Here is a 17124-nt window from a genome sequence, read left to right on the forward strand (position 1 = left end):
ATGTAAGATTATCTGACATATGAGCCACAAAACTGTAGATGAATTTTTATAATAATTATAAGACCAAATTTTCCACTTTAAAAATTAACAATGTTCAAATTTAGAACAAGTTATTAACTAAAGATAATTAAAGAAAATCAAAGTATATGTATTTTGCATGTATATATATTTACACATATTACATCTATGAAGAACTATGATCATACTGTAAAAGAACTGCAAAGTATACTTAGTAAATGAGAATCTCTTCATGAAAATGATTGCAGCCCAAGGTAAGTAAAGAAACAAAGTGAAATATAGCTGTAAAACGTTAAATACTATAGACTCCAGAAAACTTTTTATTAATTAATTGTTAAACTGATATCAAACACTTTTTCTCCTGCTTTTCCCATTTTCAAAGCTATAACAAGACTGTATTTATGTCTATGATGGTGCTATTTAAAATACTCTCCGGTACTTCTTTCATTATGTTTTCTCTCTTATCAAGATAAATACTGATAAAAATAAAAATATAAACATTTATCTACCTACAAACCTTTTTCTTAATACTATGGTAAAGTCAGGTTTTGGGATGCTATTTCTGGAAGAAAAAAAATGGGCCACTATAAGCTCTCTGCCTCATGAATAATCCTTTTTTTTTTTTTTTGAGGCAAAGTCTCACTCTGTTACCCAGGCTGGAGTGTAGTGGCATGATCTCAGCTCACTGCAACGTCCGCCTGCTGGGTTCAAGTGATTTTCCTCCCAAGTAGCTGGGATTATAGGCGTGCACCATCACGCCTGGCTAATTTTTTTTTTTTTTTTTTTTTTTTGAGACAGAGTCTCACTCTGTCACCCAGGCTGGAGTGTAGTGGCATGATCTCGGTTCACCGCAACCTCTGCTTCCCAGTTCAAGCGATTCTCCTGCCTCAGCCTCCAGAGTAGCTGGGACTACAGCGCCCGCCACCACGCCCAGCTAATTTTTGTATTTTTTTAGTAGAGACAGGGTTTCACCACGTTGGACAGGCTGGTCTCAAACTCCTGACCTTGGGATCTGCCCGCCTTGGCCTCCCAAAGTACTGGGATTTCAGGCGTGAGCCACAGCGTCCGGCCCCTAATTTTGTATTTTATTCTATTTTATTTTTTGAGATGGAGTCTCGCTCTGTTGCCCAGGCTGGAGTGCAGTGGCATGATCTCGGCTCACTGCAAGCTCTGCCTCCCAGGTTCATGCCATTCTTCTGCCTCAGCCTCCCGAGTAGCTGGGAGTATAGGCACCCGCCACCACGCCCGGCTAAATTTTTTGTGTTTTTAGTAGAGACAGGGTTTCACCGTGTTAGCCAGGATGGTCTTGATCTCCTGACCTCAGGTGACCCACCCGCCTCAGCCTCCCAAAGTGCGGGGATTACAGGCGTGAGCCACCTCGCCTGGCCAAATCTTTTTTTTTTTTTTTAGACAGAGTCTTGCTCTGTCGCCCAGGACAGGGTGCAGTGGTGCAATCTCAGCTCACTGCAACAACCTCCACCTCCCAGGTTTGAGAGACTACCCTGCCTCAGCCTCCTGAGTGGCTGGGATTACAGGCACCCACCACCATGCCTGGCTAATTTTTTAATTTTTTGTACAGATGGGGTTTCACCATGTTGGCCAGGCTGGTCTTGAACTTCTGACCTCAAAAGATCCGCCTGCCTCAGCCTCCCAAAGTACTGGGATTACACTGCACCTGGCCCCTATGAATAATGTTAATAACTCTTAATTTTCAAAATAGTCTTCTTTCTCTTTTAGAGAAGAATAAAATGAAGCTAAGCAAATACTTATAATAGAAAACAACTGCCTAGTTGTAAAGTTGAGCAAAGAAACACTGTTAACTAATTCACTTTCTGACACGTTGTCTTGGGACCTGAAACAATCAGATTAGGACATTCTGTGTGATATCTGAAGTAGTGACATGATAACTACTACCCAAGAAAGCAATTCTGTGGTAATGGTTAAGTATATCCACTATAAAATATTATGGAGCAACAAAACGTAATAGCTACAAAGACTAAAGACATGGAAGAAACTTGCATATGCCCACTAACTACAACTAGGAAAAAGTACATATGCTGGGGCAAAAACCTGTAAGAAAATACCTCAAAATACTAACTACAACTAAGAAAAAGTACATAGGCCGGGGCAAAAACCTGTAAGAAAATACCTCAAAATGGTAGCACAGGTTTTATTAGCATAGTGAGATTACAAAATTTTGTCCTTGTTACTAGTTTCCTAATATATATGTATCTAGTTTTCTAATCCATATTCCATTTTATATAAACATATCCACATATTATAAGAGCTATATAGTAATATCAACCTTCAATCTATTAGTCTTTAACTACGACTGCCATCTCTGTTACCAATCACAACCTAAGCTACCAAAATCTTCCTTGCAAGTCTTAACAGAATAGTATTTATGTCTATGATGGTAATATTGCAAAATAGTCTCCTGTACTTCTTTCCTTATACTTTTTCAGCTTCAAAATGACTTTTCTTACCCTCACCTCCCTTAAATCTACTTCCTTCTGCCTTCCCTTATTGGCTAACGGTACTACCAACTGTCATTCTAAAGTTCTGAACTTTTCTCTCTTCCTTATCCTCAACTTACTTAAAAACTTCCACTGGCTCCCAAATGCCCATAGGAAAATGTCCAAATTCTTCAATACATTATACAACATGTTTCATATACAGTCACTGCAAACTTTTGTTTCAACTCGGGCTACCAGTCCAGGAAAACTATTCTATGTTAGGGCCCAGTGGTCTGTTTGCCAAACGTTTAAAATCAGGTCCCCCAGAGAATTCTGCAGATGCCTCATGGATGAATAATTTATTGGTAGAATAATACAGAGTTTACCTTCAATTCTATATCTGTTTATTTGTTTTTATGGCTACAGGCTCTAGAAGACCTTGTTCACATAAATAGACAGATTGGAAGGAAAGCAGTTTTGTTTTAGCCATGTGACTCGATTCTTTCGAGTTACCTGCCAGGATTCACAAAGTGATCTACTATAAAAAAATTACTTTAATAATCTCTAATAGCTGACAATTATTTGATCTTCCTTCACATGTGTTGAAAATAACTAAAAATCATCTGGCTTGCAATTTCCAACATGAATAGCAATATTTCAAATTGCCACTCTATCTTGTTTCCCAGAGGAGTTTTTACCCCCTTCCTGTTCAAATCCATCCTAGTAAGACTGAGGATGAGTAATAATGTCTTTCATTTATAAAGTAGGATTAGAGTCATTATGGAAAGGGAAAACCAGCCTGACATCTTAATGCAACCATATTCTCTGGCAGATCAAGTTTAAGAAAGAATACACATCAAGGTGGAATGTGTGGAACTCAATTTCTTTAAAATATAAAACTTGGAAAATTGTAATATATCGTGAGGCATTTGAACCTCACTCCTAAAAACGCTACTCTAGTAACACCAAATTTCTTATCTTTACCAGAAAATATCATGATCTTTAAAAATACTATATTTCTGCAGATTCTATTGTCTCTTCTGAAATGCCTTTTCCCTATGTCTGCCTGTGAACTGCTACTCATTTCTAAGACGTAATTTTATTAACCTCTTTGTGAAACCTTTCCACACCCTGCAAGCAATTAATTAAAACCTCTCTGTGTTTCTGTAGTCCCTACACAGAACCCTTTCCCTTACTTCTTCATGCTAACATTTATGTTGAACTACAATGATTTGGGGATTTGTTTGTTTTCCTTTTTTCTTTTGGAAACAGATCTCACTCTGTTACGCAGGCTGAAGTGCAGGGGTGCAATGGCTTGACCTCCTGGGTTCAAACAATCTTCATGCTTCAGTCTCCCAAGTAGCTAAGGACTGCAGGTATATGCCACCACCACCACACTTGGGTGATTTTTAAATTTTTTGTAGAGATGGGACTCAATATATTGCCCAGGCTGGTCCTGAATTATTGGCCTCTAGTAAACCTCCTGCCTCAGCCTCCCAAAGTACTGGGATTATAGACATGAGCCCCTGTCCCCTACTTATAAAGATTTGTTTCATATTTGACTCACCATTATTCTCTGAGGTCCTTCAGGCCAGGGTCAGATGATATTCATTTTTACATCAGTGTTTACCCCTACCCCTGCACCTTAGGAAATAGTAGGCAGGCAATAGATAATGCCAATGTGATATTCATTGAAAGCCTAGGCCGGGCATGGTGGCTCACACCTGTAATCCCAGCATTTTGGGAGGCCAAGGCGGGCAGATCACTTGAGGCCAGGAGTTCGGGACCAGCATGGCCAACACAGCGAAACTCCATCTCTAACAAAATTACAAAACAAATTAGCTCAGCGAGGTGGCACTTGCCTGTAGTCCCAGCTACGCGGGGGGCTGAGGCACAAAAATTGCTTGAACCTGGGAGGTGGAGGTTGCAGTGAGCTGAGATTGTGCCAGTGAACTCCAGGTTGGGCTAAAGGGAGACTGTTTCAAAAAATAAAGCCTAAATGTATGCCATTCCCATGTACAAAGCTGGATCACCAACAAGCTATATATCTGAGATGTATAACACTGTTTCCAAGGAAATAGCTTCGTAGGTGTATAATTTTATAATATTTAGTTACGTTTTTACTAGAGGTAGATATAAAAATTCATTTATACTTTGCATAAAATTATTTAAAATATTATCCATTATAACTATCACTGTCTCTTCTATAAAGACCTTGATGTACTGGTACTCAGAACTTACTACTGGGAAAGACCAGAAAAACTTTTCCTCTCCATACCAACTAATAATGCTCCATACAAACTAATAATCACTTTTAAGAAAGTGATAAATAGCTCATTATGCTTGTCCCTGTTCTTGCCCCAGCCATCAGACAACTCCAACAGAAGTTTTGTGTTCAATTTCAGCAATTCCTTATGGCTTTGATTCTCTGCACAGTTAACTCTCACACGTCCTCTCTTGCCTATAATTACCCAGGTTTTTTCCTCATTTGCTTTTACTTTAGTAGTTTTAAAACTGTACTCTTTTAACTTCCTAAACAGAGGTATTAAAACATCGAATACTTTTATGTCATCATTAGCTTTAGTGCCTAATACAGAGCTCTAAACAGAATAAACACTAACAGATATGATAGCTACTACTTATATAAAATTACATAGAAGATATCTAGATAAAGAAGATTCTTGTACTCAAAACCTCACAATCTGTCTCTTAAAGAAAATACCAACAATTCCTTCTAATTTTTAAACTATTTTCATGTAAAGTAAGTATTTTTCCTGTTAACTTTATAGCTTACCTGTGTAGGTTCAGGAGCCATACTCTTCCTTTGTTCTGTTGATTTTTCTATTGCTTCACTAAGAGACTTTGCATATTGTACCATAGCTTTCAACTGGGAATCAGTCAAAACCCATAATAAGTCATCCAATATTAGAACTAACTTTGTTGCTATGACATTGCAGTCCTTTAACTGTAGGAAAAAAAAATGTTTTATAAAATTAAGCCAAGATATAAACCTTATAATACGCTTGTATTAAAAAATGTTTTCAAAACGTTTTTGAATAGAAATATGGATTCTTCCTTCACACAAGAAGTATTTACTGGCCGGGCACGGTGGCTCATGCCTGCAATCCCAGCACTCTGGGAGGCCAAGGCAGGTGGATCACCCGAGGTCAGGAGGTGAAGACCAGCCTGGCCAACATGGTAGAAACCCTGTCGCTACTAAAAATACAAAAATTAGCCAGGTGTGGTGGCGGACACCTGTGTAATCCCAGCTACTTGGGAGGTGGAGGCAGGAGAATTGCTTGGCCCAGGAGGCAGAGGTTGCAGTGAGCAGAGATAGTGCCATTGCACTCCAGCCTGGGTGACAGAGAGAAACTCTGTCTCAAAAAAAAAAAAAGTAGTAGTATTTACTGAGTTCCTATAATATGAAAGGAATATCACCTAGTACTAGAGATGCAGTGGTAACAAAAGACAGACAAATCCTTGTACCTTACAAGTTATATAGCACTTATATAACTTAATTTTGCATTTATAGCTGATAAATTATATAATTACTTGTATTAATTCAAAGATTCAATAGAAGAAATGAAATTATAAGACAGTAAATGTTCAACAAGTATTTGGCAACTGAGAAATATATTCAATTTACCAAAAATAAAAATGTTTAGGCCAGGCATCGTGGCTCACACCTATAATACCAGCACTTTGGGAGGTCAAGACAGAAGGACTGCTTGAAGCCAGGAGTTCATGACCAGCCTGGACAACAAAGCGAGACCCTGTCTCTACAAAAAAAAAATAAAAATAAGCTAGGCATGGTGGTGCATGCCTGTAGTCTCAGCTACTTGGGAGGCTAAGGCAGGAGGATCCCTTGAGCCCAGGAGTTCGAGGCTGCAGTGAGCTAGGATTGTCCCACTGCACTCCAGCCTGGGCAACAGAGCAAGACCCCAACTCCAAAAATAAAAATAAAAATAAGGCAGAGGCAGGAGGATCACATGACTCCAGGAGCTCAAGACCAGTCTGAGCAATATAATAAGACCTCATCTCTACAAGTAACTTAAAAAATTATTCAGGCATAGTGGGCGTGCCTATTGTCCCAGCTACTTGAGAAGCTGAAGTGGGACAATCACTTTAGCCTGGGAGGTCAAGGTTTCAGTGAGCCTTGATCATGCCACTGTAATCAAGCCTGGGCAATATAGTGAGATCTCATCTCAAAAAAAATAAAATAAGATAAAAATAAAAAGAACAACAAAAAACCTTTGAAAAATCTATTAAACCTAAGACTGAAGAACATTATACCAGTTTTCTATAAATATTATCTGAGTAACTATACCTCCCTTTATTTTGCATTATTTTAATATGCCACTGGTAATATGCCAATATTTCACCTAAGACATTGTTTAAAATTTCCTATAGTTAACTAATAGTTAACACACAAATCAAAAAGTCAAATCCAACAGTTAACACATGAATCAAAAATGTAATCTTGTTGACTCACCCTTCTTTTAAGTGTGACTCTGATTTTTGATTGGTTGGTTATTAATCGAACAGGAGCACACATAATTTCAAGATGTGAACTTTGGGTGGCATCTGCCTCTATTCTTATCATCTGCCAATTTATTTCTTTAAAAGTCAAAACCTAAGGAGAACACAGAGATTAACTTCACTTACTCATGCAAAACAGAATGAGAAAAATGTAGATTTTTAAAAACAAAGCAAATGTATATTCTCAGTTAATTTTCACATGACATTTTAGATATATTCACCATGTTTTTATTTTTGTAAATTGCATTATTCCATCAAATTCAATTACACCTCTTCATATTCATATTCATCATATGTAAAGCTGTTAATACTTTTAATCTAAGTAATTCAGTTAATGTAAAGCTCAAATGCATGAAATCACGTTACCAAGAAACAAACAACATATTTTAGTTTGGGGAATTTAAAAATTCAATTCTGAGTAGCTGAGAAGTTAAAATAGGGCTTTAAATGGAAAGATTTACTAGAGTAAAGACATTAAAATGTGCACATTTTATAAATGAATGATTAAGAGTAATACAGAGAGCTGGGTGCAATGGTTCAGGCCTGTAATCTCAGAGCACTATGGGAGGACAAGGCAGGTGGATAGCTTGAGCCCAGGAGTATGAGACCAGCCTGGGCAACATGGCAAAACCCTGTCTCTACCAAAAATACAAAAATTAGGCAGGCGCAGTAGTACATGCTGTTAGTCCCAGCTACTCAAGATGCTGAGGTGGGAGGATCACCTGAGCCCAGGGAGGTCAAGGCTGCAGTGAGCCGTGATTGCGCCACTGCACTCCAGCCTGAGCAACAGAGTGAGACCCTGTCTCCCCGCACCCTCCCCAAAAAAAGTAATACAGAGAAAAGCAAAGTTAAAAGGCAACCATGAGATGTGATTTTTTTAATCGTCCTCTTTTACTTGTCACTAAATGAAACATTTAAAAAAGAAAGAAAAAAATGTTACCTCTCCTCTCTGTGGATCCTGAATACGAGTAAATCTCAAATCTCCATGTTCCCAGTGTGCATTTACACTATAGATCCGAAGCTGAGAAAGTTCAAATGATGCATTGAAGGCTTTTGCTCCAATTCTGATGACTATAGAATTTACAGAAACAGAAATTCCCTCAACTACTTTTTCAGCAAAGCCGTATTCACTGGAAAAACAAAGCAAAACAAAATACACTAATGACAAAACTAATTTTTAAAAATTCTATTAATATTTGCACATTTCTGGTTGGGGATGGTGGCTCATACCTGTACTCCCAGCACTTTGGGAGGCTGAGGCAGGCAGATCACTTGAGGCCAGGAGTTCAAGCCCAGCCTGGCCAACACAGTGAAACCCCATCTCTACTAAAAAAAAAAACACAAAAAATTAGCCAGGCACAGTGGCACATGCCTGTAATTTCAGCTACTTGGGAGGCTGAGGGACGAGAATCACCTGAACCCAGGAGGTGGAGGTTGCGGTTAGCTCAGATTGCAACACTGCACTCCAGCCTGGGTGACAGAGCAAGACTCTGTCTAAAAATATAGACAGATAGATAGATAGACAGACAGACACATAGATACATAGATACATAGATACATAGATAATTTGCACGTCACCATTTTATTATTTTTTTTTTCCCTAAGAGTCTCAACTCTGTCGCCCAGGCTGGAGTGCAGTGGCATGATCTCAGCTCACTGCAACCTCTACCTCCCGGGTTCCAGCAATTCTTCTGCCTCAGCCTCCGGAGTGGCTGGGATTACAGGCATGCACCACCATACCTGGCTAATTTTTTGTATTTTTAGTAGAGATCAGGTTTCACCATATTGGCCAGGCTGGTCTCAAACTCCTGTCCTCAGATGATCTGCCCACCTTGGCCTCCCAAAGTGATGGGATTACAGGCGTGAGCCACCAGGCCCAGTTTATTCATTTTTATATTGAAAAAATAAATGTTTTTTATTAAAACAATAATCTAAGCTGGGCCTGGTGGCTCACGCCTGTAATCTCAGCACTTTGGGAGGCCAAGGCAGGAGGATCTCTTGAACCTGGAGTTTGAAACTAGCCTGGGCAATATAGCAAGATCCCTGTCTCCACAAAATATTTTAAGAGGCCACACATGGTAGCTCATGCCTGTAATCCCAGCACTTTGGGAGGCCACTTGAACCTAGGAGTTCAAGACCAGCCTGGACAACACAGACAGATCTCGTATCCGTAGAAAATTTAAAAATTAGCTGAGCATGGTAACACTTGCCTGTGGTCCCAGATACTCACAAGGCTGCAGTGGGAGGATCTCTTGAGCCCAGGAGGCAGAGGTTGCAGTGAGCTGAGATGAAACCACTGCACTCTAGCCTGGGCAACAGGGCGAGACCTTGTCTCAAAATTAATTAACTAATTGATTAATTAATTAATTAGCTGGACATGGTGGTGCATGTCTGTGGTCCCAGCTACTTGGGAAGCTGAGGTGGGAGGATCACTTGAGGCCAGGAGGTTGACGCTGCAGTGAGCTGTGATCATGCCACTGCAGTCCAGCCTGGGTGACAGAGAGAGATCACATTTCAAAAAAAAAAACAGGAAAACAAACCTCAGACACAACAATCTAGTCTAGTTACATATAAATTATTAAAAAAAAAAAAATGCTATTCTCAGCCAGGCATGGTGACAGTGGCTGTCACCTATAATCCTAGCACTGTGGGAGGCCAAGGCAGGTGGATCACTTTAGCCCAGGAGTTCCAGACCAGCCTGACCAACAAGGAGAAATCCTGTCTCTATTAAAAATACAAAAAAGTTAACTGGGCATGGTGGCGCATGCCTGTAGTCCCAGCTACTCGGGAGGCTGAGCTGAGAGGATCGCTTCAGTATGGGAGGTGGAGGTTGCAGTGAGCTGAGATGGCACCACTGCACTCCAGCCTGGGCAACAGAGTGAGACCTTGTCTCAAAAAATAAAAATAAAAAAATAATTTTTTAAAAAAACGCTCTTCTCATTCTCTAAACCTTTTCTGGTTCTCAGGGCTGCAAAAAAATTTTTTTAATACTCTTCTTAAAATGTAAAAGACTTTTTGGCTGGGCACAGTAGCTCACAGCTATAATCCAAGCACTTTGAGAGGCAAAGGGAGGAGGATTGCTTGAGCCCAGGAGTTAAAATCAGCCTAGGCAACACATGGAGACCACCATCTCTACAAAAAATACAAAAAACTAGCCAGGTATGGTGGCTTGCACCTGTAGTCCCAACTACTTGGGAGGCTGAGGTGGGAGGATCGATTGAGCCTGGGAGGTCAAGGCTGCAGTGAGCCAAGATCATGCCACTGCATTCCAGCCTGGGCAACAGAGTGAGACCCAAAAATACATATTCACATTCTATTTTTTTTTTTTTTTACTCTGAACACCACTCAATGAATGTATTCATTTTATTGATATCCATTCCAGACCTACTGAATCAGAAATTCAAGAAAAGGAGCTTCAGAGACTTTGTAGATTTAATAAGCACTCTAAATGACTGTTACAATCAGGCAAGTCTGAAAAAATGCTGAAATAGATTAACCATACTGCCATATGTCAAAATATGAGGATGATTTAAATAGTTTAAATCATCACATGATTAGAAAGCCAAAATTATAAAGCTTATGATACTATAAAAACAAGAATTAGGAAGAACACTATCAACTATACTAAGCACACAAGGACAAAATGATTCATTTTAGTTCTTTCCGACTCTAGCCAACCTAAAGGCCAACAACTATTCTATGAAAACTGAAATCATAATCTAACCTGTAAAATCTGAAGTTGCAGGATGATGCTACATTACAAAGAAGTTAACATGAAAGCTCTTTTCCCAGTCACTAATATCTGTAGTCCAAATATAAACTGCACATCTGATAAACCTGGCCTTTAGTCAACTCTTAGAAGTGGAACGAATCACCATTAGATTCCCATGGCATGCACTGTAGGTATTCTCATGGCATGCACTAACATAAAGGTGGCTCAACCTTTGTAAAACAGGAGTAAGTGAGTGTGTGTCTGTGTACACACACGAATGCATTCATCCTCAAGAAAAGTTTTATCAATTGTTTTACATAACACCTAGAATACTATACATGTTCAGAGCTGCTATTTTACGCAATATGAGGAGGCATTAATCACATTAAAAATCTATGTCAACAATTAATGTGAACGCAAAAATAATGCAGAAATCCTGTTGTAGAAAAATCATGTATAGTTCTAGATTTAAATTTCACTGAGTGCAAAAAAGCAGACAACATATTTTTAAAAATTTAATAACTTCTAACTTTTCAAAAAGACTTTATGAAATGATCCCCATACTTCTGCTGTATTAGCATCTGATTTTCATCTATCAAAATACAACCTGTGGAAAGCAAAAACATTTTAAACTTAATGAATTTTAGAGTAACCCAAAAGGTCTGTAATTTAAGGCATCAACTTAACTCTTTGTTTTTGAGACAGAGTCTCTCTCCATCACCCAGGCTGCAGTGCAGTGGCATGAGCTCAGCTCACTGCAGCCTTGACCTCCCGGGTTCAAGCAATTCTCCTGCCTGGGCCTCCTCAGTAGCTGGGAATACAGGCGTATACCACCGCACCCAGTTTTTGTATTTTTGGTAGAGACGGGGTTTCACCATGTTGGTCAAGCTGGTGGCAAACTCCTGACCTCAGGTGATCCGCCCACCTCAGCCTCCCAAAGTGCTGGTATTACAGGCGTGGGCCACTACACCGAGCCCAACTTAACTCTTTTTTTTTTTTTTTTTGAGACGGAGTCTCGCTCTGTCACCAAGGCTGGAGTGCAATGGCGCGATCTTGGCTCACTATAACCTCCGCCTCCCGGGTTCAAGCAATTCTCCTGCCTCAGCCTCCCAAGTAACTGGGATTAAAGGTGCATGGCGCCATGCCCAGCTAAAGTTTTTTGTATTTTAGTAGAGACAGGGTTTCACCGTTTTGCCCAGGCTGGTCTCAAACACCTGAGTCCAGGGAATCCACCCGCCTCGGCCTCCCAAAGTGCTAGGATTACAGGCATGAGCCACCGCTCCCAGCCTCCCAACTTAACTCTTAAGAGTCATAAAAGTTCCACTGATGCACAGAAAATGATATGCAGAGAAACTGATCAGAGGCTATCTGATTTATATAATGCCTAAATTCTTCTGCTTCCATTTTCTGTTGCTGCTCTGCCATTAGTTAATCACTATTATTTAATAATAGCAAGGAAAGCAAGATGAATAAAGAAAGTTAAAAGTCAAATCTGCAACTTTGCAATGTATATAACTAAAATTGTAAAATGTTTGATGGGAGAGCTGACTGAAATAGAGGCCATTTGAGGTTAAGGCTTTTTTTTTTTTTTTTTTTAATGTCCTGTTATTGGCAGTCATGCAGATTAATGGAAGTAGCTTACCTTTGTCCTGAAGCAGTTGCAATTGGTGATGGGCCATTAGGGCTTCTTGGTTCTTCACATGTACTCATTTCCATTATTACTTTATCCAGGGACTAATAAAAACGTTAAAATATAAACAATTAGATTATTTATTCTACGTATATTATTAAAGTATTATTTAAGATTATTTTCTCTTTCATTTTTCTTTAGGAAGAAAGTAAAAAGTGAGCAGAGTCATTTAAGTGCCTCTCTACAGGTCTAAAAAGACAAATGCCAAAAAAGAACACAAAGCACTCAATCAGTTCTCAAGGCATTTATTATCTGGTGGAAAAGCTATGTGTATTACAGGTGTTGGGGGGTGGGGAATTAAGACATAGCCATTAACTACTAAAATCATCAGATTTCATGAAAACAGAATCTCTACTCCCAGATATATTCATTGATGAAATTATATATTAATAAGTAGGACTGAACTACCCCAAAAAGCTTATCACAATCTAAGATCTGAGCTATGAGACACAAAACTATGGGAAATATGAAATAAGCAGGAAATGTGAAAAAAAATAAACACTCCCATAATGGAAAAGGTTCTTTCTCAGGGTAATATTTTTCTCCTTGAAGAAAGATCTAATGTCCTTAATCGCCATCACTAACACTACTCCAGTCATTCTTCATTCTCTATTTCATATATAGCATTTATTATTATCTGAAACTGTCTTGTTTTATTCATGTTCTTGATCATTGTATTTTTTAAATGAACGAACAAATGATCAATTTTCTTCAACTTTCCTTAAAAAGCAAAGTATATTAAAGAACATATTTCATAATTTACTAGATCACTAAAAGGAGAAACAAAGACAGTCTGGATCAAATGTTACTGAAAGAATAATCCCATAGTACATCAACAAAGAGTTAAATGATGCAATAAAATACTATACCAATTTAGAACACAGTATTCTAGACCTGAAAAACTTTAAAGATGCTCCTACTTTAAGGTTAAAGCTTCTCATTTAAAGGATGAAAAACCTGAGTCCTATCAAAATAAAATGAAACCTAACTGGTGAAAAATCCAGACTATATTTCCATGAAACAAAAGATTACTATGAACAGAGTAGCTAGATAATGTATATATATAAATGTTTATTTCTAAAGTGGTTTCAGAACTCACCAAACAGATGGGATGTGTTTTCAGTTTTGTCCATGGGATCTACAAATGAAAAATTTTTAATTTAAGATCAATCATTAAGAAGAAAATAATGTAAACAGTAATCAATACAGGTGTTATATTAATATAGGACAGACACACCAAATTATATAAAATCACTTTTCTTAAACTACAAAATAAACTAAGCAACTCACTCATACTTTTGAAACCAGATGTACCCATTTTATTTAAGAAATTATTACTAGCTATATCTCCTCAGACATCTTTTGAATAGAAATTGTAAGTTCTTTTTTTCTTTTTTTTTTTTTTTTTTGAGACAGAGTCTCTTTCTGTTGCCCAGACTGGAGTGCAGTGGCACGATATCGGCTCACTGCAACCTCCACCTCCTGGGTTCAAGCAATTCTCGTGCCTCAGCCTCCCAGTAGCTGAGATTACAATCAAGTGCCACCACGCCCGGCTAATTTTTGTATTTTTAGTAGAGACAGTGTTTTGATATGGTGGCTAGACTGGTCTCTAACTCCTGGCCTCAAATGATCCACCCAACTCGGCCTCTCAAGGTGCTGGGATTACAGGCACGCACCACCATGCCTGGCCAATTTCAGGTTCTTTTAAGTATCTTTTTTTTTTTAACAATCCTTAAAACAAATCTTAATATCATAATTTAAATGAAGAGCTTAACAACCTGTTTAATCCTAAAATTCTGAGCAATCATTTTGTAAATATTCAAGACAAATACAAAAGTTCGGCCATTAATATAAAATGTAGGAAACATCAAATACATAATGTTGATATACCCTGTACTAAAAATGCCAAGTTTTGCCTCCAAAAGGCTCTTAGATCTAATAAATAAATTCAGTAAGGTTTAGGTTACAAAATCAACGTACACAAATTAGTAGCACTGCTACAAACCAACAAAAACCACGCTGATAATCAAATCAGGAACTCAATCCCTTTTACAATAACTACTGCTACTACAAAAAAAAAAAAAAAAAAAAAAAAAAAAATGTAGGAATATACCTAACCAAGGAGTTGAAAGATCTCCACATGGAGAACTACAAAACACTGTGGAAAATCATAGATGACATAAGCAAATGGAAATATATCCCATACTCGTGGACTGGAAGAATCTATACTGTGAAAATGACCATACTGCCCAAAGCAATCTACAAATTCAACACAATTCTTCTCAAAGTACTAACATCATTTTTCACAGAATTAGAAAAAACAATCCTAAACTTCATATGGAACCAAAAAAGAACCCAAATAGCCAAAGCAATCCTAAGCAAAAAGAACAAAACTGGAGGCATCACATTACCCAACTTCAAATTATGCAAGTCTATAGTAACCAAAACAGCATGGAACAGGTGTAAAAATAGGCACATGGACCAATGGAACAGAATAAAGTATTCTGTTTCTGTTCCATTGAACAGAATACACAGGCCAATGGAACAGAATAGAGAACCAAGAAATAAAGCCAAATACTAACAATCAACTGATCTTTGACAAAGCATACAAAAACACAAACTGGAGAAAGGACACCATATTCAATAAATGGTGCTGGAAAAAGTGGATAGCCACATGTAGAAGAATGAAATTGGATCCCTATCTCTTACTGTATACAAAAATTAACTCAAGATAAATGAAAGTTTTAAATCTAAGATCTGAAACCATAAAAACTGTGGAAGAAAACCTAGGAAAAACTCTTCTGAACGTTGGCCTAGGCAAAGAATTTATGACTGAGACCCCAAAAGCAAATGCAACAAAAATAAATGAGACCTAATTAAACTAAAACGCTTCTACACAACAAAAGAAATAATCATCTGAGTAAACTGACAACCTACGGATTGTCAATATTCACAAACTATGCATCTGACAAAGAAAATATGCACAAATTATGTGTCTGACAAAGGACTAATATTCAGAATCTACAAGGAACTCAAACAAATCAGCAAGAAAAAAAACACGCCCATTAAAAAGTGAGCAAGGACATGAACAGACATTTTGCAAAAGAAGATATACAAATGGCCAACAACCACATGAAAAAATGCTCAAAATCATTAATCATAAGGGAAATGCAAATTAAAAACACATTGAGACACCACCTTTTTCCAGCCAGAATGGCCATTACTAAAAAGTTGAAAAACAATCGATGTTGGCATGGAAGTGATGAAAAAGGAATGCTTATACACTGCTGGTAGGAATATAAGTTAGTACAACCTCAATAGAAAACAGTATAGAAATTTCTCAAAGAACTAAAAGTAGATCTACCATTCGATCCAGCAATCCCACTACCGAGTGGGTACCTATCCAAAGGAAGAGAAGTCACTATATGAAAAAGACACTGGTCCTCATTTCAAACATGACTCTATTAAAAAAAAAAAAAGACACCTGGACACATATGTCTATTGCAACACAATGCACAATTGCAAAGATATGGAATCAATCTAAGTGCCCATCAACCTATGAGTGGTTACAGAAAATGTGGTACATAAATACCATGGAATACTACTCAGCCATAAAAAAAGAGCAAAATAATGTCTTTTGCAGCAACTTGAAAAGAACTGGAGGCCATTATTCTAAGTGAAGTAACATGAATTGAAAACCAAATACCACATGTTCTTTTAAGTGTGAGGTGAACTATGGGTATGCAAAGGCATACAGAGTGGCATAATGGACTTTGAAGACTCAGAAGGTGGGTAGGGGTAGGAGAGGGATGAGGGATGAAACTACTTCCTGAGTACAATATACACTACTCAGCTGACAGATGCACTAAAATCCCAGACTTTACCACTATACAATTCACTCATGTAAACAAAAACCACTTGTATCTCTAAAGCTATTGAAATAAAAAAAAATTTACTGAAAGTGTCAAGTCTTTGTAGATATTTAGGTTTCCAAAGGATAGAACAAAAATTAAAAGTGACCATCAAAGGATATAGGAACTTTTCTATAATCTTTTCTTAGGAGCCCAAATTTTAGTTTTAGGAAACAATCAGCATGCAGTATTTCAACTAAGCAGACAACTCTTAAACAAAGCCTCATCTTTAAGACCAAGAAGTGACACAAATTGACATATGATTAAAGATAAGTAGAGGTCAGCCGGGCACGGTGGCTCATACTGTAATCCCAGCACTTTGGGAGGCAGAGGCGGGTGGTGGATCACCTGTCAGGAATTTGAGACCAGCATGGCCAACAGGATGAAACCCCATCTCTACTAAAAATACGAAAATTAGCCAGGTGTGGTGGCATGCGCCTATAATTCCAGCTACTTGGAAGGCTGAGGCAGGAGAATTGCATGAACCTGGGAGGTAGAGGCTGCAGTGAGCCAAGACGGTGCCACTGCACTCCAGCCTGGGTGACAGAGCAAGACTCCATCTCCCAAAAAAAAAAAAAAAAAAAAAAAGATAAGTAGAATAATAAGTTATAATAATAATAATAATAGGAATGATACTAACAGTAAACAGAGACCCTTAAAAATCTCAAAATGGGCTGGGCACGGGCGGATCACAAGGTGAGGAGATTGAGACCATCTCGGCCAACATGGTGAAACCCCATCTCTACTAAAATACAAAAAAATTAGCCAGACGTGGTGGCACGTGCCTGAAATCCCAGC

At 38.2% G+C, this 17124-nt stretch overlaps 1 protein-coding gene across 6 annotated transcripts in view; it reads right to left on the minus strand.

The window, feature by feature from the left end:
- Window positions 1-17124, minus strand: part of BLTP3B (bridge-like lipid transfer protein family member 3B) — a 105803-nt gene that overhangs the window by 53327 nt on the left and 35352 nt on the right. For all 6 annotated transcript variants that reach the window (XR_007063059.1, XM_005268739.5, NM_015054.2 and 3 more), the window contains 5 exons: window positions 13515-13553; window positions 12368-12459; window positions 7954-8143; window positions 6967-7107; window positions 5269-5439 (listed from right to left, as the gene is read on the minus strand). Coding sequence is in view for 5 of the 6 variants with exons in the window: in XM_005268739.5 (XP_005268796.1) it covers window positions 5269-5439; window positions 6967-7107; window positions 7954-8143; window positions 12368-12459; window positions 13515-13553 (633 nt within the window). In the remaining variant the exon portion in view is untranslated. The remainder of the gene's footprint in view (window positions 1-5268; window positions 5440-6966; window positions 7108-7953; window positions 8144-12367; window positions 12460-13514; window positions 13554-17124) is intronic.

The sequence above is a fragment of the Homo sapiens genome, chromosome 12 (assembly GCF_000001405.40).
Source record: "Homo sapiens chromosome 12, GRCh38.p14 Primary Assembly".
In the NCBI taxonomy this organism is placed as follows: Eukaryota; Metazoa; Chordata; class Mammalia; order Primates; family Hominidae; genus Homo; species Homo sapiens.